Source organism: Homo sapiens, chromosome 1 (genome assembly GCF_000001405.40).
Source record: "Homo sapiens chromosome 1, GRCh38.p14 Primary Assembly".
NCBI lineage: Eukaryota > Metazoa > Chordata > Mammalia > Primates > Hominidae > Homo > Homo sapiens.
In genome coordinates this window covers 15,969,143-15,988,758 of record NC_000001.11, presented here as the reverse complement: position 1 = coordinate 15,988,758, position 19,616 = coordinate 15,969,143, and the positions used below count along the sequence as shown (strand labels likewise).

Sequence of the window (19,616 nt, the reverse complement as noted above, 5' to 3'; positions counted from 1 at the left end):
AGTGGTGAGATCTTGGCTCACTGAAAGCTCCGCCTCCCAGGCTCAAGCGATTCTCCTGCCTCAGCCTCCCGAGTAGCTGGGATTACAGGCGCCTGCCACCGCGCCCAGCTAGTTTTTGTATTTTTAGTAGAGAGAGGTTTCATCATGTTGGCCAGGCTGGTCTCGAACTCCTGGCCTCAGGTGATCCACCCACCTCGGCCTCCCAAAGTGCTGGGATTAGGAGTGAGCTACCATGCCCGGATGAATAAAACCTTTGACGGCTGCCCTTCCTCACTGGATTTTGGTTGTGTCTTCTGATAAACCATGATGATGTCTCTTTGTAGGAATGGTATCGATAAAGAGCCAGATTTGAGAAGGAGTGTAACATGAGGCTTTCCAAACCATTCTCAGCTAAAAGTTTTTAAATTAAAGTTTTAAACTCTTTAGTAGTTGGATCACTGGCATCATCGGTGCTGATGCTAGCTCCCTTTCCTTTCTTTGATTCATTGTTTGAATCTTTTGAGGATCAAACAAGCGTGAAGTTGAACTGAATAGCGCCTTCGCTCTTGATAGTCACATTCTCAGTAACTGGATTATACCTATAATAAAGGAGATAGATCAGAACCACACTCCTTTAGCTGGGGTACCCAAGCCCTGGGAAAACAGGTACGTACAGAATGTGTGGATCGTTGGGATAAATGTGGCGCATCTTCCTAAAGAGATGAAATTTTAATGTTGAGTAATTTATTATTTTTTAATACATTGATTAACAAAGAACAGACATGGATATACTACAAAATATGAACAGTTTTTTTTTTAATATTTTTTTCTTTTTGAGATGGAGTCTCTCCCCATTGCCCAGGCTGGAGTGCAGTGGTGTGATCTCAGCTCACTGCAACCTCCGCCTCCTGGATTTGAGTGATTCTCCTGCCTCAGCCTCCCGAGTACCTGGGATTACAGGCGCCCACCACCACACCTGGCTAATTATTGTATTTTTAATAGAGATGGGGTTTTTACCATGTTGGCCAGGCTGGTCTTGAACTCCCAACCTCAAGTGGTCCACCCGCCTCAGCCTCCCAAAGTGCTGGGATTATATGCGTGAGCCACTGTGCTCGGCCTGGGTTTTTAAGATTAAGTATATGACTTCAAGACAAAGTTAGTTCTTGTAGTGGATACTCACATGTCTCCTGGAATTTGAATTCACTTGTCTTCCATCAGGGTATATGGGTGGCAGGGTGCGGTGGCTCACTCCTGTAAACCCAGTACTTTGGGAGGCGGAGATGGGCGGATCACTTGAGGTCAGGAGTTTGAGACCAGCCTGGCCAACATGGCAAAACCCTGTCTCTGCTAAAAATACAAAAATTAGCCTGGTGTAGTGGCAGATGCCTGTATATATTAATGCTTATTACAATATTTTTAATAGCAAAAAAAGAAAGCAACTAAAGTGTTTATCAGTAGGGAATTTATAAAATTGTGATAGTCATAAGCTAATATTCTATTCAGCTATTAAAAGGAATGATGTAGATTTCTATTTGCTAATATGGAAAGATTGCTTGATACTTTATAAACTACAAAAAGCAGGGTGAACATCAGAATGTATAGTATGATTTATCTGGCAAAGTGAAAGAAATAATAGATAAACTTGTATATGTAAAAACATATTTCCTGGCTGGGCGCGGTGGTTCACGCCTGTAATCCTAGCACTTTGGGAGGCCGAGGTGGGCGGATCACCTGAGGTCAGGAGTTCCAGACCAGCCTGACCAACATGGAGAAACCCCGACTCTACTAAAAATACAAAACGTTAGCTGGGCTGTGGCAGTGCATGCCTGTGGTCTCAGCTACTCAGGAGGCTGAGGCACAAGAATTGCTTGAACCCAGGGGGCAGAGGTGGCAGTGAGCCGAGATTGCGCCACTGCACTCCAGCCTGGGTGGCAGAGTGAGACCCTGTTTCAAAAACAAAACAAAATCAAAACCTTTATATGAATGTTCATTGGAGCATTTTTAATAACAGCAAAAGTGAAAAGAACCCAAATGTTCATCAGCTGAAAAATCAACTGTGGTGTATTCATACATTAGAATATATTTGACAATAAAAAAATGCTGAAGTACTGACGCATGCCACAGCGTGAATGAACCTTGAAAATCAAGTGGCCGGGAGCAGTGCCTCACACCTGGAATCCCAGCACTTTGGGAGGCCGAGGCTGGTGGATCACTTAAGGTTAGGAGTTCGAGTCCAGCCCAGTCAACATGGTGAACTCCATCTCTACTAAAAATACAAAAATTAGCCGGGTGTGATGGCGTGCACCTGTAATCCCAGCTACTCGGGAGGCTGAGGTAGGAGAATTGCTTGAACACAGGATGGGGAGGTTGCAGTGAGCTGAGATCGTGCCAGTGGCACTCCTGCCTGGGGGATAGAGTGAGACCCTGTCTCAAAAGAGAAGGGAAGGGAAGAGAGGGGAGGGGAGGGGAGGGGAAGGGAAGGGAGGGGAGAGGAGTCGAGTCACAAAAGACCACATGTTGTATGATTCCATTTATAGGAAGTTCCTAGAATAGGCAAATTCATAGAGATAAAGCAGATCAGTGGTTGTCAGGAGCTGAGAGGGGAGGAAGGAATGGGAAGTGTCTGTTAATGGGCATGGAGATGCTTCTGGGGGTAATGAAACTGTTCTGAAATTAGTGGTGATGGTTGCACAACTCTGAATATACCAAAAACCACTGATCTGTACACTCTATAAGAATTAATTGTATGTATGTGAATTATATCTCAATAAAGTTGTTGTATTTTAAGAAAGGAAATAAGCTGTATCCTGCCTTTCCTCAATGAACTATGTTTTCAGGTAACCAGGTAACCCTGATTGATGTGGGGAAATTCCTGTTTACAGAAGAATTCCAGCTCATAGATGTGGAAAGAACGATAGAAATGCATTATTTTACAACCCCTAATGAAATCAATGACTCAGAGATCTTCAAAAGAAAAACCCATTGCTTGGAAGGTTGATGGGGAAATTCCCAAAGGGAAAGTCAGATTGCTGCCACGCAGACCCACCAAGGGGGCCCATGATGTGACTTCCCGGAAGCACTCAGCAAAACCTGTGAAATGCTTCTACCAAAAAAAGTTGGATCTGGGCCGGACCTGATGGCTCATGCCTAGAATCCCAGCATTTTAGGAGGCCAAAGTTCAAGGACTGCTTGAGCCCAGGAGTTCGTGCTCAGCCTGGGCAACATAGCAAGACATGTCTCTATAAAAAAAATAATTAAAAAATTAGCCAGGCACGGTGGTGCATACCTGTAGTTCCAACTACCTGGGAGGCTGAGGCAGGAGGATTGCTTGAGCCCAGGAGTTTGAGGCTGCAGTGAGCCATGATCACACCACCACACTCCAGCCTGGGTGACAGAATGGGATCCTGCCTCTAAAAAATAATAATAACAATAATAAATTTTAAAAAATTAGACCCAGGCCTGGGTGTGGTGGTTCATGCCCATAATCCCAGCACTTTGGGAGGCCAAGGCAGATGGATCACTTGAGGTCAGAAGTTCAAGACTAGCCTGGCCAACATGGTGAAGCCCCACCTCTACTAAAAATACAAAAATTAGTCGGGCGTGGTAGCGCGTGCCTGTAATCCAGCTACTCAGGAGGCTGGGGCATGAGAATCGCTTGCACTTGGGAGGCGCAGGTTGCAGTGAGAGAAGATTGCACCACTGCACTCCAGCCTGGGTGACAGAGTGAGACTCTGTCTCAAATAAATAATAAAAAGTTAGACCTGAATCTACTCAGGCCTTGAGGGCTTATTTACAGGAAACAGGGAGACAGAGAAGCTAGTTAAATGACAGTATAAAGAAGCAAACAGAATTCCAGAATGTGGGAATTCTGTGGGACAACAGTCCCTATTTCTGCATCAAGGCAACAAGAGGGAACAAACAAAAAACAAGGAAAGGAATGACTTTGGAATAAAAGTGACTCAAAAGACAATTTTAAAAACACCACCACACAATTGTGACTGTGGTTGGGAGGACTTTGTATGGATCCTGATTTGAACAAAGCAATCATAAAAAGACACTTGGAGACAATTAGCAAAATTTGATTATGGCTGAATATTAAATTATTCCAAAGAATAATTCTTCTTATTGTTAGGCCTGATCAGGGCATTGTGGAATTTTTTTTACAGTTGCACACTGAGGTATCATCATCATGCACGGTGGAATGACAGGATCTGGGATTTGCTTTAAAGTACTTCTTCAGGCTGGGCGCAATGGCTCACGCCTGTAATCCCAGCACTTTGGAAGGCTGAAGCGGGCAGATCACCTGAGGTCAAGAGTTTGAGACCAGCCTGGCCAACATGGCAAAACACTGTCTCTACTAAAAATACAAAAACTAGCCAGGCATGGTGGCACATGCCTGTGGTCCCAGGTACTCAGGAGGCTGAGGCAGGAGAATCACTTGAACGTGGGAGGTGGAGATTGCAGTGAGCCGAGATCACACCACTGCACTCCAGCCTGGGCAACAGAGTGAGACTCCATCTCAAAAAAAAAAAAAAAAGGAAGAAAGAAAGGAAGAATATATTAAGAATGTGTAGCAAAACTTAACTATTGAATCTGGATGATGGAAATAGAGAAAATGTCTTATTACTTTCACTTTTGTGTAATTTATAACATTTTCAAAATGGATGGGAACTAAAAAGTATATGCCAAGGATTTCTGGGAAGAGTTAAGAAAATCATTTCATGACAAGTAAACAGAGGAAGAAAAGCAATATTTATGAATTAGTACGCTGCCGTGTTATATAATTTGTGATTTTTAAGATTTGTGCAATCAAGTTGGTAAATTAAATTGTATAAACAGCCATTCGTCTATCAACAGCTCTTCAAGTTTAAGTCTACAAGGTTTATCTACACTTCTTCAAGTTTATGTCTACAGGGTGGCCAACTGCTTAAAAAGTTATCCTTATAGGGAAAATGCAGGGTTGCCCACATGTGAATAGTAACTGAGCTTTGAGGGGGCGTTAGAGTAGAAAGTGGATGAGGTTTAGGCTGGAGACTCTGGAGATGGTGAGGGGTGCTGTGTGTCACTTTGGCGACTGACTGAGGGTGGGGTGGGGCAAGAATATTGGAGGGGAGAAGCTTGGGGTTGAGGGACCTGGTTAGTCATATAATTGAATCAGTGGCACCTAATGAGAAACCAGGCAAGTTGTAATCATTCACTCACTCAATCAACACATGTATACTTAACTCCTGTCCTGTCTCAGCCATCAAGTGCAAATTCTTGGATTCCTCTTCTGTAATATTCTAAGCAGTTTCTGGCATCTCCACTCAACTTCGTTTTATAAAGGCCACTGTTGATCCAGAGTTTAATCAACCAGTTGACTTGTTAGAACCATTTCCAGCTGGAACTTTAAAACCCCAAATCTCTGTAACATATTATGTTGATAAATTCAGCCAAATGTTATATTCTTTCCTTTCTGAGGTAGCACCCATATTCCCTAGGCTTCAGCTCACTTACTTAGCTAAGGCTTGTTTGTTTGTTTGATTGTTTTATTTTGTTGTAGAAGCCATATCCTCCTTGGTCAGACTCTGTGCCTGTCTCCTGGCTCATCCTGGAATCTGGCTTTCATTATAGATCTGGAAACAAACAATGGGCAGTGGAGTGTTCACGAGAATTAGATTCCTCTTGCAAAATAACTTCCCCGGGTGAGGTCATTACACACTCCCCAGAGAAAGCAGAATCAGCCTGGTCAGATGGAAGGAGGGGCTGCTTCTATCAGCAAAGGAATCTCACTGGACTTTGGATATGGGTAGTCAGGGAACACAAAATCATCTGCATCCACCCAAACATCCCTATTTCAGTTCCTGAGAGCCACTTTTTCCTGTTCCATGCACCTGGTCAGGCTGTGAATACAGCATACATAACAATTACATTACAAATCAGCAACCCATGGGATGAACTCTCTTCAATTTTTGGCTACATAAGCCCCATGGCTATAAGAGATGATACATCTATTGCAGTAGTCAGGAATGACCCCAGGTTATCTGACCCTGCCTTGAGCCAAGAATTTAAACCCCAAATCTTTTCTTATTTGAAGCTCTATGGTGCAATTATAAACAGCCATGACCTTGTTTGCCAGCAGATATCAGCCAAAAGCAGCAGGACTATGGCTACAGCCTCACTTCCTTCTTCCAAATCCCACTAACTGGCAGAACCCATCCATATGTGGGATTCTAATTGCAGCTGAGTCTGGGAAATACATTTTTTTTTTTGAGATGGAGTTTCACTCTTGTTACCCAGGCTGTAGTGCAATGGCACAATCTTGGCTCACTGCAACCTCCGCCTCCCGGGTTCAAGCGATTCTCCTGCCTCAGCCTCCTGAGTAGCTAGGATTACAGGCATGCGCCACCACACTCAGCTAATTTTTAATTTTTAGTAGAGACAGTGTTTCTCCATGTTGGTCAGGCTGGTCTCAAACTCCCGACCTCAGGTGATCCACCTGCCTCGGCCTCCCAAAGTGCTGGGATTACAGGCGTGAGCCACCACGCCAGGCGGAAATACATTTTTAGCGTTTTAGATTCTGGAAAGAATGGATGCTGAGTCCTGATTGATCACATCTAACACAGATAGACCCGGGGATAGATTTGTATGCTTAATATTGGGAAGACAAGAAGGTTCCTAACAGATCTGCTATTATTCTCCCTGTAAAAGAAGAGGTGAAATACAAGTGTTGGTAAGGATGTGGAAAAATTGGAACCTTTGTGTACTGTTGGTGGAATGCAAAATGGTGCAGCCACTATGAAGAACGGTATATGGGGATTCCTCAAAAAATTAAAAATAGAACCACCATAGGATCCAGAAATCCCACTTCTGGGTCTTTATCTAAAGAATTGAAATCAGGACCTTGGAGAGATATTCGTGCTCCACTGTTCATTGTAGCATTTATTCACAATAGCCAAAATGTGGAAACAACCCAACCAAGGGTCCACTGACAGACAAATGGTTAAACCAAATACGGTATATACATAAGATAGAATATTATTCAGCCTTTAAAAAAGAAATTCTGCAAAATTTGACAACAGTGATAAACCTTAAGGACATTGTGCTATGTGAAATAAGCCAGTACAGAAGGACAAATCCAGCATGATTCCACTGTAAACTAAAAATAAAATCCCAAGTCCCCCACCGACTGAACGGACCTCCTTTTGGCTAAGGGGACCCCAGAAAAACCTTAGAGACTGAGTTCCCAGCTACAACAGGGTGGGAGGTTAGACACGTGATATGATTTGGTTGTGTCCCCACCCAAATCTCATCTTGAATTGTAGTTTCCATAAACCCCACGTGTTGTGGGAGGGACCCGGTGGGAGGTGATTGAATCATGGGGGTGATTACCCCCATGCTGCTGTTCTCAGGATAGTGAGTGAGAGTAAGTTCTCAGGATATCTGATGTTTTGTTTTGTTTTTGTTTTTGTTTTAGACGGAGACTCACTATTTTTACTAGAGATGGAGTTTCAGTATGTTGGCCTGGAACTCCTGACCTCAAGTGATCCACCTGCTTTGGCCTCCCAAATTTCTGGGATTACAGGCATGAACCACAACTCCCAGCCTTTCTGATGGTTTTATAAGGGGCTTTTCCTCCTTTTGCTCATTCTCCTTCTTGCTGCTGCCATGTGAAGAAGGATGTGTTTGCTTCCCCTTCCACCATGATTGGAAGTTGCCTGAGGCCTCCCCAGTCATGCTGAATTGTGAGTCAACTAAACCTCTTTCCTTTACACATTACCCAGTCTTGGGTATGCCTTTATTAGCAGCGTGAGAACAGACTAAAACAACACACCTTGATATACTTATTACTTTTATCTATCTATCTATCTATTTATTTATTTATTTATTTATTTATTTATTTATTTATTTATTTTGAGACAGCATCTTGCTCTGTCGCCCAGGCTGAAGTGCAGTGCCGCAATCTTGGCTCACTGCAACCTCCACCTCCCGGGTTCAAGAGATTCTCCTGCCTCAGCCTCCCGAGTAGCTGGGATTACAGACACACACCACCACGCCCAGCTAATTTTTGTATTTTTAGTAGAGACAGAGTTTCACCATGTTGGCCAGGCTGATCTCGAACTCCTGACCTCAAGCGATCCATCCGCCTCAGCCTCCCAAAGTGCTGGGATTACATGTGTGAGCCACCATGCCCGGCCCTATTTGTATTTTAGACATAACAACTGATGAGCATTAAAGTTAAAATAGAGACAATAAGACTGACAGAACAGACTGTGGCAATAACATCCCAAATTATAGACAGGACCTAAGGCTGTGCCACGCAAGGGTTCAGCCGTGCACTCCTACCTTAAAAAATAAACTATGTTCAATTGCCACAAGGTTTTTCTTTTTCTCTAGCAGCTAAACGACTACTTGCCTCGAGATAAACAGTATTAAGACAATTACGACTCATTCAGCTCACAGAGGCCAACTGGAACTCCTGTTCCACCAGCCGTAACTACAGCTTTGGACAAAGAAGGTGATTTCGATAACTTTCTCCAGCTAAGAAGACCACCAACCAGGGACTGGTCCTGGACAGTTTACAGAGGCTGTGCACTTGAATGCTTTTGTGCCCTGAAAAGACCTTTTGACATATAGGGCCTAATTGTAATACATTTATTTAAAATTTTTTTTAGAGACAGGGTCTTGGTTTGTCACCCAGGCTGGAATGCAGTGGCACAATCATAGCTCACTGCAGCCCCGAACTCCTGGGCTGAAGTGATCCTCCTGCCTCAGCCTCCCAAGTAGCTGGGATTACAGGTATGCATTACTATACCCAGCTAAGCTTTTATTTTTAGTAGAGATGAGGGGGAGTCTCATTATGTTGCCCAGGCTTGTCTCCAATTCCCAGTCTCAAGCGATCCTCCTGCCTTGGCCTCCCAAAGTGCTGGGATTACAGGCATGAGCCACCACACCTGGCCTGTAATACATTTAAATGTTAAGTCCAAACATTAGTTCAACCTAAAGTAAACATGGGTCATATATTACCACCTATGTAACAAACCTGCACCTCCTGCACATGTACCTTTGAACTTAAAATAAAAGTTGAAGAGAAAGAACAAATTCTTAAGAGGACAGCTCTCATATTAAGTTTTCTTACTATGATTTAAAAAAAATTTTTTTAAGAAATGGGGAAGTATGGAACCAAAAAGGGGCCTGCATATCCAAAGCAAAACTAAGCAAAAAGAACAAATCTGGGAGCATCACATTACCCAACTTCAAACTATACTACAAGGCTATAGTCCCCAAAACAGCACGGTACTGGAATAAAATAGGTACATAGACCAAACGAACAGAATAGAGAACCCAGAAATAAAGCCAAATACTTATATCCAATGGATCTTCAACAAAGCAAACAAAAATATAAAGGGGGGAGGGGCACCCTATTCAGTAAATGGTACTGGGATAATTGGCAAGCCACACGTAGAAGAATGAAACTGTATCCTCATCTCTCACCTTATACAAATATCAACTCAAGATAGATCAAAGACTGAAATCTAAGACCTGAAACCACAAAAATTCTAGAAGACAACATTGGAAAAACTCTTCTGGACATTGGCTTAGGCGAAGACTTTATGACTAAGAACCCAAAAGCAAATGCAACAAAAATGAATATAAATAAATGGGACCTAATTAAACTAAAAAGTTTCTGCACAGCAAAATAAATAATCAGCAGAGTAAACAGACAACCCACAGAGTGGGAGAAAATTTTCACAAACTATGCATCCAACAAAGAACTAATACCCAGAATCTACAAGGAACTCAAACAAATCAGCAAGAAAAAAGCAAATAATCCTATTAAAAAGTCACATGCTAAGGACATGAACAGACAATTCTTATTTTTTTTTTTTTGAGACAGAGTCTCACACTGTCGCCCAGGCTGGAGTGCAGTGGCACAATCTTAGCTCACTGCAGCCTCAGGATCAAGCAATTCTCCCTGCCTCAGCCTCTTGAGTAGCTTGGTACTACAGGTGCCCACCACGATGCTGGCTATTTTTTTTATTTTTATTTTTTTGATTTTTTAGTAGAGACGAGGTTTCGCCATGTTGACCAGGCTGGTCTCGAACTCCTGACCTCAGGCTATCTGCCCACTTCGGCCTCCCAAAGTGCTGGGATTACAGGCGTGAGCCACCGCGCCCGGCCCGACAGTTCTTAAAAGAAGATACACAAATGGCCAACAAACGTGAAAAAATGCTCAATATCACTAATCATCAGGCAAATGCAAATCAAAACCATAATGCCATACCTACTCCTGCATGAATGGCCACAATCAAAAATGAAAAAATGATAGATGTTGACATGGTTGTGGTGAAAAGGGAACACTTTTGCACTGCTGGTGGGAATGTAAACTAGCACAACCACTATGGAAAACAATATGGATGTTCCTTAAAGAACTAAAAGTAAATCTGCCATTAGATCCAGCAATCCCACTAGCGGGTATCTACAGAGAGGAAAATAAGTCATTATATGAAAAATACACTTCCACACGCATGTTTGTAGCAGCACAGTTCACAATTGCAAACATATAGAACCATCTCAAATGCCCATCAATGCACGAGTGGATAAAGAAAATGTGGTATATATATATAACATGGAATACTACTCAGCCATAAAAAGGAATGAAATAATGGCATTTGCAGCAACATGGATGGAGCTAGAGACCATTATTCTAAATGAAGTAACTCAGGAATGGAAAACCAAATATCATATGCTCTCACTTTTAGGTGGGAGCTAAGCTATGAGGACGCAAAGGCATAAGAATGACACAATGGACTTTGGGAACTCAGGGGGAAAGGTGGGAGGGGTGAGGGATAAAAGACTACACTTTGGGTTGGCTGGGCGCAGTGGCTCACGCCTGCAATCCCAGCACTTTGGGAGGCCGAGGCGGGCGGATCACGAGGTCAGGACATCCAGACCATCCTGGCTAACACGGTGAAACCCCGTCTCTACTAAAAATACAAAAAATTAGCCGGGCATGGTGGCGGGCGCCTGTAGTCCCAGCTACTCGGGAGGCTGAGTCAGGAGAATGGCGTGAACCTGGGAGGCGGAACTTGCAGTGAGCCCAGATGGCGCCACTGCACTCCAGCCTGGGCAACAGAGCAAGACTCCATCTCAAAAAAAAAAAAAAAAAAAAAAAAAGACTACACCTTGGGTAGAATGTACACTGTTCAGGTCATGGGTCCCCCAAAATCACAGAAATCATCACTAAAGAACTTATCCATGTAACCAAACACCATGTGTTCCCCAAAAACTACTGAAATAAAAATTAAAAATATAGTTAAAAAGAACGGGTGAAGTTAGCCAGTTGTGGGTGCACATGCCTGTAGTCTCAGCTACTGGGGAGGTTGAAATGGGATGCTTAAGCCTAGGGGTTTCAGTCCAGCCGGGCAACATAGCGAGACCCCATCTAAAAAAAAAAAAAAGAAAGAAAAGAAAGACGGCCGGGCACGGCGGCTCACGCCTGTAATCCCAGCACTTTGGGAGGCTGAGGCAGGTGGATCACGAGGTCAGAAGATCGAGACCATCCTGGCTAACATGGTGAAACCCCGTCTCTACTAAAAATACAAAAAATTAGCCAGGTGTTGTGGCGGGCGCCTGTAGTCCCAGCTACTCTGGAGGCTGAGACAGGAGAATGGCGTGAACCCGGGAGGCGGAGCTTGCAGTGAACCGAGACAGCGCCACTGCACTCCAGCCTGGAAGACAGAGTGAGACTCTGTCTCCAAAAAAAAAAAAAAAACCTAAAGACAAGAAGGGGTGAAGTCAACTGCTGGGCTTTTTTGTTTCTCTAGCCATTGTGAAGACAGGAGTGAGTTGCCAGATTGGCATATGTTGCATCCCACTGAAGGCTAGTGGACATGAATCTCTAGGGAACAGTCTCCCCACTGCATACTTTCTTCAGCTGTGCTTGGCTGTTTGGGAGCTAACAAAGAGAAAAGGTGCATTTGGATTCACACAGCGTTGGTATTCTTACCAAATCCATGTGACAAAAAGGCAAGGGGGCAAAAGAGCTTACAGTAGTGGCAAGAGTGTTGTTAAAATTATAGATTATGGAAAATATGCAGGCCTAGAAGTAAACAAAGGAGAAAGCCCTCAGACTGTGAGAAAGTGGAGAAGTCAGTGGCCTAGAGCTACCAAAAAGGTAGAAGAGGGGCCACGGAGGGGCCATGCAAGTCTGCAGACACTTTTGTTTTCAGACACCTTTATTCACGTCCAAGACAATCAGGGAAGGGGATAATGTTCGGTTTAGAAGGTAGAAAAACACAACTGGGATCTGCAGCTTTGAAGCCACAAGTAGATTCATATCTCCGGTCCACCACTTACAAGATATGTGACCATGGACATTGATTTACACTTTTTGAGTCTGTTTTCCCTTTTTTAAAATTAGGAGAATAATACTATCTTATAATTGGTGTGAGGATTTAAAGAGATAATGCATGTAAAGCGCTTAACACAGTGCCTGGCACACAGTAAGAGCTGAACACATGATGTTACTGTTATATTTGGAAGAGAAACCAAGGCAGGGGTACAATGAGGACAACTCTGAGCGCCGAAGTACTGTAAGGTGGAACTTTTGGATAGCTAGGCGCATGCGTCTGTCTATGGGCGCTCTCCTAGCGAGGACGCTGCGCATGCGCCGGAAGTTGCAGCCGGGAAGCCTGCGAGGTCGGTTCCGCCCGACTCTAACATGGCGGCGCCCTTTGTCTGCTCTGGAGTGCCGTCCCCGGCCTTCTCGCGGCCGTGATGCACCTCCCTCTGCGGTGGGGTCCGGGACATGGCAGGTGAGTGTCAACAATCGCCCGGGGCCGGGGAAGTCCCGGGAGCCGGGGCGGAGGCGGCGGAGGATGGGGCGCGGTGGGACGCCGGTGACGGTTGTGTGGGGGAGGGGAGGGAAGTGGAATGGGACGCCAACCGGGGCTGAGGGGACACCGCTGGGCGGGAGATTGTGGGGTGGCGGGGCGGGGGGCGTCGCCGGGCGTGCTGGCGGGGAGTGGGCGGCCAGGCGACCGCCCGGGCGAGGGGGCGCGTGTCACCTCCCGGGCTGGATGACACCCCAGCTGGTAGCATCTCCGCCCCCGCCGCACGGCTGTCACCGCCCCTTGACCCCGCGCGCTGTCGAGGGTGGGCGTTCTGCGGCCGCGAGGGAGCGCAGTGCCGGGGCAGCTCCTGTCGGCCGGCCGGGGCGGGAGGGAGCGGGGCTGCCCGGGCCTAGGAGGAGCTGACAGAGGAGGCCGACGCTGTCCCTGTATAAAAGCATTTCATTCATTCATTCGTACTGCGGACGGTGGTTCAGCACCTGATAGATGGTGAAGCTAGAGCGAGTGATGCGGGCGGACTCGATCCTCCAGGATCCTCGATCCTGGAGTTAGGAGTGTGAACCGTGGAGCCCAGCAGCGGGGTTTGAATCCCCATTCCCTGCTGTGACCTTAGGCACTTTTGGCTTTTTCTCTCTGCCTGGGTTTATTCATCCTTTAAGCAGAGATGATAATAAAATCAGCCTCCTAAGATTGTAATAAAGGGGAAATGAGGCTCCTAGAACACTTATGGGTACAAAGTAAATGCTGTGTGTTTGTTGCTGTTATTAATTGTATCACCATTGTCACCCAGAGCTCAGAGACCCATGTGGGAGACATACAGGTAAATCAGCAATTCTGATACTGCTGCGAGGGCAGAAAGCCCTCCTTCCTCTGAAGCACGGAGTAGAGACACATCACTCAGCCTAGGGGGAATCCCGGGAGGCTTCTGTCCCCCAGAAAGCTAAGATCTAAGGGAAGCTCAGCGGAGTGAGGCAGGAAAACGGGTATTCCCAGTTAAGGGTGTAGTTTGTGAGAAAACTCATCTTCGTAGAGAGAGGAGAGAGAGATCAGGCTAAATAAAGAAGCAGACTGGGCCGGGCTCGTTGTCTCACGCTTGTAATCTCAGCACTTTGGGAGGCCCAGGCGGGCAGATCACTTGAGGTCAGGAGTTCGAGACCAGCCTGGCCAATATGGTGAAACCCCCGTCTCTACTAAAAATACAAAAATTAGCCGGTCGTGCTTGCGCGCGCCTGTAGTCCCAGCTGCTCAGGAGGCTGAGGTATGAGAATCGCTCGAACGCAGGAGGCGGAGGTTGCAGTGAGCCGAAACGGCGCCACTGCACTCCAGCCTGGGCGACAGAGCGAGATTCCGTCTCAAAAAAGAAAAAAAAAAAAAGCAGCAGCAAGCTGTGGTCTGGTCTTAGGGGACGTTGTAAACCTAGTTAAGGACTTTAAACTTTAGGTTAATGGGAAGCCATTTAAGAATCAGATCTGTGGCCAGGTGCGGTGGCTTACTCTGTAATTCTAGCACTTTGGGAGGCCAACGTGGGATGATCATTTGAGCCCAGGAGTTTGAGACAAGCCTGGGCAACATGGCAAGACCCCATCTTTATTAAAAGAAAAAAAAAAAAAAAGGAAAAAAAAAATAGCCGGGCATGGTGGAGTACACCTCTGGTGGTCCCAGCTTCTTGGAAGGCTGAGGTGGGAGGATTCTTTTATTTCCAGCCTGAAATAAAAGAATCAGGTTTTTTTTGTTTTTGTTTTTGTTTTTTTTTTTTGAGACTACGTCTTGCTCTGTCACCCAGGCTGGAGTGCAGTGGCAGCATAATCATAGTTCACTGCAGCCTTGATCTGAACTCAAGTGATCCTTCTGCCTCAGCCTCCCAACTAGCTGGGACTACAGGCGTGCACCATAACACCTGGCTAATTTTTTAAATTTTTAGTAGAGATGGGGTCTCACTATGTTGCCCAGACTGGTCTCGAACTCTTGGCCTCAAATGATCCTCCCGCCTCAGCCTCCCAAAGTACTGGGATTATAGGCATGTGCAACCATGCCTGGCCACGAATCAGATTTGTGGATTAGGAAGATCACTCTGGCTAAGTGAAGAATGTATCAAAGGGAGTGGGCCTGTAGGCCAATTAAGAGCCTGCTAGAATAATCCAAGTGAGAAATAAAGGTGTGAGTTAAAGGCAGAGAGTGAGGAGAGATGGTTTTAGCGATAGAATTGACACAATTTGGTGATTAGTTTGATGAGAGTTAGGGGCAGGGAGGAGTCAGGATCACCCCAGTTTTTGACTGATGGGTGTTGGATGCTGCTCCATGTGATAGGGAGCAGTACGGGGAGCAGATCTGGGGGAGGGCAGATATGTTTAGTTTTGAACATGTTGGAGTTGGATGCCTGTAAAACATTCAAGTGCACCTGTTCAGCTAGTAGTTATCACCATCAAAGGTCACTGAAGTCATGGGAGGGGATGAGCTCACCTAGGGTAGGGTATGCAATGAGAAACAAAGTGTCCAGGATATCCCAGAGCAGTGCCAATGCTGCAGTAATGCTTGGATACAAACCTTGTCGTTTTTCCTTCTTAACATTGTGTCCTGTCTCTTATTGAGCTGGAGTTCTTGAGAGCAGGGCCTGAGGCTGAGTCTGTGCATCTTTGTGTCCCAGTGTCAGCATGCTATCTGGCACAGAGCAGGCCATTTATTCAGCACTTCCTTGGGCCAGGCTCTGTGCTAAGCACTCTGTATTTGTCTATGTTTGATGGATGCATGAAAAGGCAGCTCTGAGGGAGCAGGTACCCTTTAGGTTCTCATCAGATTTTCCACTTGTGTGTCATTGATTCAGGTAATGAGCCGGACGAGGGGAGCCAAGCTGGAGTTTACACAGGCAAACTGTCAGAAAAGAGTAGCCTGGGCTGTCTGGAAATCTGAGGTATGTCTGTAATACTCAAGGATGAAACAAATCAGATCAGTTTGTCCTTTTTCTCTAGGTTCAACATGATTCAAATGATTCTTTCCTGATAGCCTTTTCTTCAAAATTATATAGTAATGACAAAATCCCAGTTACAGTTTGGTTGGGAAATTGTTGATCTTACTATTATTGTTTTACCTGCAGAGAGAGGCCAGAGTGGATGATCACTGGGCAATGCTCACGCCTTTAGTTAGGTGAAATCTACAGTGGTGGAAACAGAAGTTTATTCCTTGCTCCTTAACATTCTGGAAGTACACAGTCCAGAGCTGGTAGCACAGCTTGCTGTGTTCTGTGAGATCATCTGGGAGCAGGATTCCTTTGATAATGTGGCTTTTCTTGCTCAAACTTAGGCTTCCATCTCATGGTCCAAGCTGGCTGCTGTAGCTCCTGCCATCATGTATGATCTCCCTAGGGCAAAAAGGGACACAGAGCAGCGAGCACACACTCATTCCTTTTAAAGTTCTAATGTTTAAGGTGGGATTTTTGTGCAACATGGTTCCCAAACATAAGCCAGTTCCTGCATCTGGTGCACAGCTAAAGAACAGATTGTGACTGTTTCAGTGCTGGAGAAAAAGCTGGCTGAGAGAACCTGCTCTGTCCTCAGTCTGTCTGGATTACTCTCTTGGGGGTGTGATCCCAGCCTGAGGGGAGGTCCACTGAGTCCCCAAGGCAGGCTGCTCTGGCTTTGGGTAGGTTTACAGGGCTTGGGCCCAGGGAGGCCAGGCTTGTTTATCCATTCATTGTTTCTGTGCCCAACATGTGTCAGGCATTGTGCTGGGTGCTAGGGATGCTGGCACAAGTAAGACTGAATCCCGGGAGCAGGTGCTCCCAGCCATGTGTATCCTCACAATGCAATGCAGGAAATACCTTGGAGGGCTGGTGGAGGGTGTGCGCACACAGGGAGGATGCACTGGCGCTGGAAGGCTTTCCTGAGGGGGTGAAGATGTTGCAAACCGCGCATTTTGGACTGATCACTGTAAAATTCCCCTTGGACAGGTAGAGGCAGCTAGGACTCTGGGGTCAGGTGTGAATCTGCCCTCCCGTTGAGTGGCTCTGTGTCCTGACAGTCAGTTCCTTCTGAAACTGTGTCCCAAAGAGTTAAAAAAAAAAAAAGTAATGACTATTAATTTTCCTAATCACAAGATTGTCTTCTGACACATCAGACAGCAAGCCTTTTACTCAGTTTCATTGCTGAGCCTCAGTTTCCTCATCTGTAAAATAGGGATGACAGAATTGTTTGGAGAATTACATGAGGACAGGCAGGTAATTCACAGAATTGTCTGGAGAATTACATGAGGTCAGGCAGGTAATTCACAGGGTTTGCTGCATAGTGCAGCACTCCCCAACCTTTTCGTTTTTTTTTTTCTGTCAGCAAAATATATATTTTATATATATAGTGTATATATATAGTGTGTGTGTATATATATATAGTGTGTGTGTATATATATAGTGTGTGTGTATATATATAGTGTGTGTGTATATATATAGTGTGTGTGTATATATATATAGTGTGTGTATATATATAGTGTGTGTGTATATATAGTGTGTGTGTATATATATAGTGTGTGTGTATATATATATAGTGTGTGTGTATATATATAGTGTGTATATATATATAGTGTGTGTATATATATATATTGTGTGTGTATGTACATATATATATATACATACACACATACAGAGAGAGAGAGAGATTTCCCCCACCCACCCACCTACCTACCCAAAACATGTGTCTTAGTGTTTGATTTTTTTTTTTCATACACACAGAATAGGGAATTTCAGAATTTTTACATACATTTTAGCAAACAAGTTTTGATCTATTGGCTTCTTGGTGCAGTAATGGTGCCAAAGGCTCATACTATTACAAGGAAGTTGTGAACACTGATTTCTCAGGAGGTGAGGCCAGCCCCACATGAACTTCTCTTGCATCCCTCTGGTCCACCATGATACATAACTACTTAGACTTTTTTTTTCCCTCTATTGAATCATTAGATATTAAAAATGGAACAACAGAGTCACAAAGGGCCACATGCTTTTCAGTAGAAAGCATTCTCCTTCTCTAGGTTGCTATCACAGTGCAGACCTGACTGCCTGAATATGCTCAGGAGATTTAGTCAGTATTGTCTGTATTTGGTTATGGAAAAGGCTCTCCTGGCTGGGCGCGGTGGCTTACGCCTGTAATCCCAGCACTTTGGGAGGCTGAGGTGGGTGGATCACGAGGTCAGGAGATCGAGACCATCCTGGCTAACATGGTGAAACTCCGTCTCTACTAAAAATACAAAAATTAGCTGGGCGCAGTGGCAGGCGCCTGTAATCCCAGCTACTCAGGAGTCTGAGGCAAGAGAATCACTTGAACCTGGGAAGCGGAGGTTGCAGTGAGCCGAGATCACGCCACTGCACTCCAGCCTGGGTGACAGAACGAGACTCCATCTCAAGAGAAAAAAAAAAAATTAGCTGGGTGTGGTGGTGGGTGCCTGTAGTCCCAGCTACTCGGGAGGCTGAGGCAGGAGAACCCGGGAGGCGGAGGTTGCAGTGAGCTGAGATCACGCCACTGCATTCTAGCTTAGGTGACAGAGTGAGACTCTGTCTCAAAAATAAAACAAAAAGGCTCTTCCTTTTTTTTTTTTTTCTTCTTTAAGTCCAAAGTGCATAGTGAGAGCAAATCAAAACTTTTTTTATTTTTCCTTCTCAGCATCAGTTTCATGTGAGCATCTTCCCATGAGGGCTGCTCAGATGTCTCGCCTTTGTCCTCCTCACCCTTCAAAAATAAGTGAGAGTCAAGCAATTTAGACATTTATCAGCTTGGCAAATAAACTTGGCAGCAAATAGAAGTCCTACTATTGTAAAGAAATTGATAAGACAAAAGGTACATATGATGACCCAACTACTGTGGTGTTGGGTAATTTATAAGGTTGACCTCTGACTTCATTGATGTAAAATCCTATTGGAAATATGACGGCAGCCATACAGAAAAGCATCATCCCAGTGAATGCTATCCATCGAACATATTTTGTAGCTTCTCTTCCCCAGTGGGAAGCCACCAGCAAACCACATGTGACAATCAATGGGAGGGCAGATTCACACCTGACTCCAGAGTCCTAGCTGCCTCCGTCTGTCTAAGGGGAATTTTACAGTCAATGAAATGATTCCCATGATGATAAAAAACAGCATGGTGACCCACTCCAGGGGAAGCTGGGGAGGGATGCACATCCCCTCTCGTCCACGCATTGTTTGACACTGTCCCATGAGGCCCACAGTGAGTGCTCCCACAGACTCCCTGGTGTTGAGCCAGTCTGGGTTGGTGATGCTGGCGATGGCGAAGATATTGGCAGTCAGAAAGAGACATCCTGAGATAATGGTCAATTTATCATCTCCCTGCCCTGCTCCCCCCACCCTCCGAGGCCCAGGCAGGCAGCGGCCTCACACTTCCCACCCCATGAGCGGCCTCTGGGACCTGGAGTCCCCACACTACTGCCTCGTGCCCCCTCGGCCCCCGTGCACCTAGGACCACCAGCCGTGGCATGGCCCGCAGCCCCCAACCTTTTTGGCACCAGGGACCGGTTTTGTAGGAGACAATTTTATCACAGAAAGGGGGCTGAGGGGTGGGGGGTGGGAGGTGGTTTCAGGTTGACTTAAACACCTTACATTTATTATGTACTTTATTTCTATTACTATTACATTGTAATATATAATGAAATAATTGTACAACTCACCATCATGTAGAGTCAGTGGGAGTCCTGAGCTGCTTTTCCTGCAACTAGACGATCCCATCTGGGGTTGATGGAAGACAGTGACAGATCATCAGGCATTAGATTTTCATGAGAAGCTCACAACCTAGATCCTTCACATGTGCAGCT

General features: G+C 45.3%; 1 protein-coding gene across 9 annotated transcripts in view, besides 4 other annotated features; it reads left to right on the top strand.

Moving 5' to 3' along the window:
- Positions 12,294-12,793: an enhancer, noted in NCBI's record as "H3K27ac hESC enhancer chr1:16302461-16302960 (GRCh37/hg19 assembly coordinates)". NCBI's record gives its function as "activates a minimal SCP1, AML or CMV promoter by ChIP-STARR-seq in primed H9 embryonic stem cells {active_cell/tissue: H9 hESC(primed)}" and the evidence as "EXISTENCE:reporter gene assay evidence [ECO:0000049][PMID:30033119]".
- Positions 12,658-19,616, top strand: part of ZBTB17 (zinc finger and BTB domain containing 17) — a 34,233-nt gene continuing 27,274 nt past the window's right edge. For all 9 annotated transcript variants that reach the window (NM_001324137.2, XM_011542085.4, NM_001242884.2 and 6 more), the window contains exons 1-2: positions 12,658-12,776; positions 15,634-15,720. The gene's annotated coding sequence lies outside the window, so the exon portion shown is untranslated. The remainder of the gene's footprint in view (positions 12,777-15,633; positions 15,721-19,616) is intronic.
- Positions 12,795-12,894: a silencer, noted in NCBI's record as "silent region_319". NCBI's record gives its function as "represses an Ori minimal core promoter by ATAC-STARR-seq in GM12878 lymphoblastoid cells {active_cell/tissue: GM12878}" and the evidence as "EXISTENCE:reporter gene assay evidence [ECO:0000049][PMID:35858748]".
- Positions 12,935-13,264: a silencer, noted in NCBI's record as "silent region_318". NCBI's record gives its function as "represses an Ori minimal core promoter by ATAC-STARR-seq in GM12878 lymphoblastoid cells {active_cell/tissue: GM12878}" and the evidence as "EXISTENCE:reporter gene assay evidence [ECO:0000049][PMID:35858748]".
- Positions 13,685-13,794: an enhancer, noted in NCBI's record as "active region_257". NCBI's record gives its function as "activates an Ori minimal core promoter by ATAC-STARR-seq in GM12878 lymphoblastoid cells {active_cell/tissue: GM12878}" and the evidence as "EXISTENCE:reporter gene assay evidence [ECO:0000049][PMID:35858748]".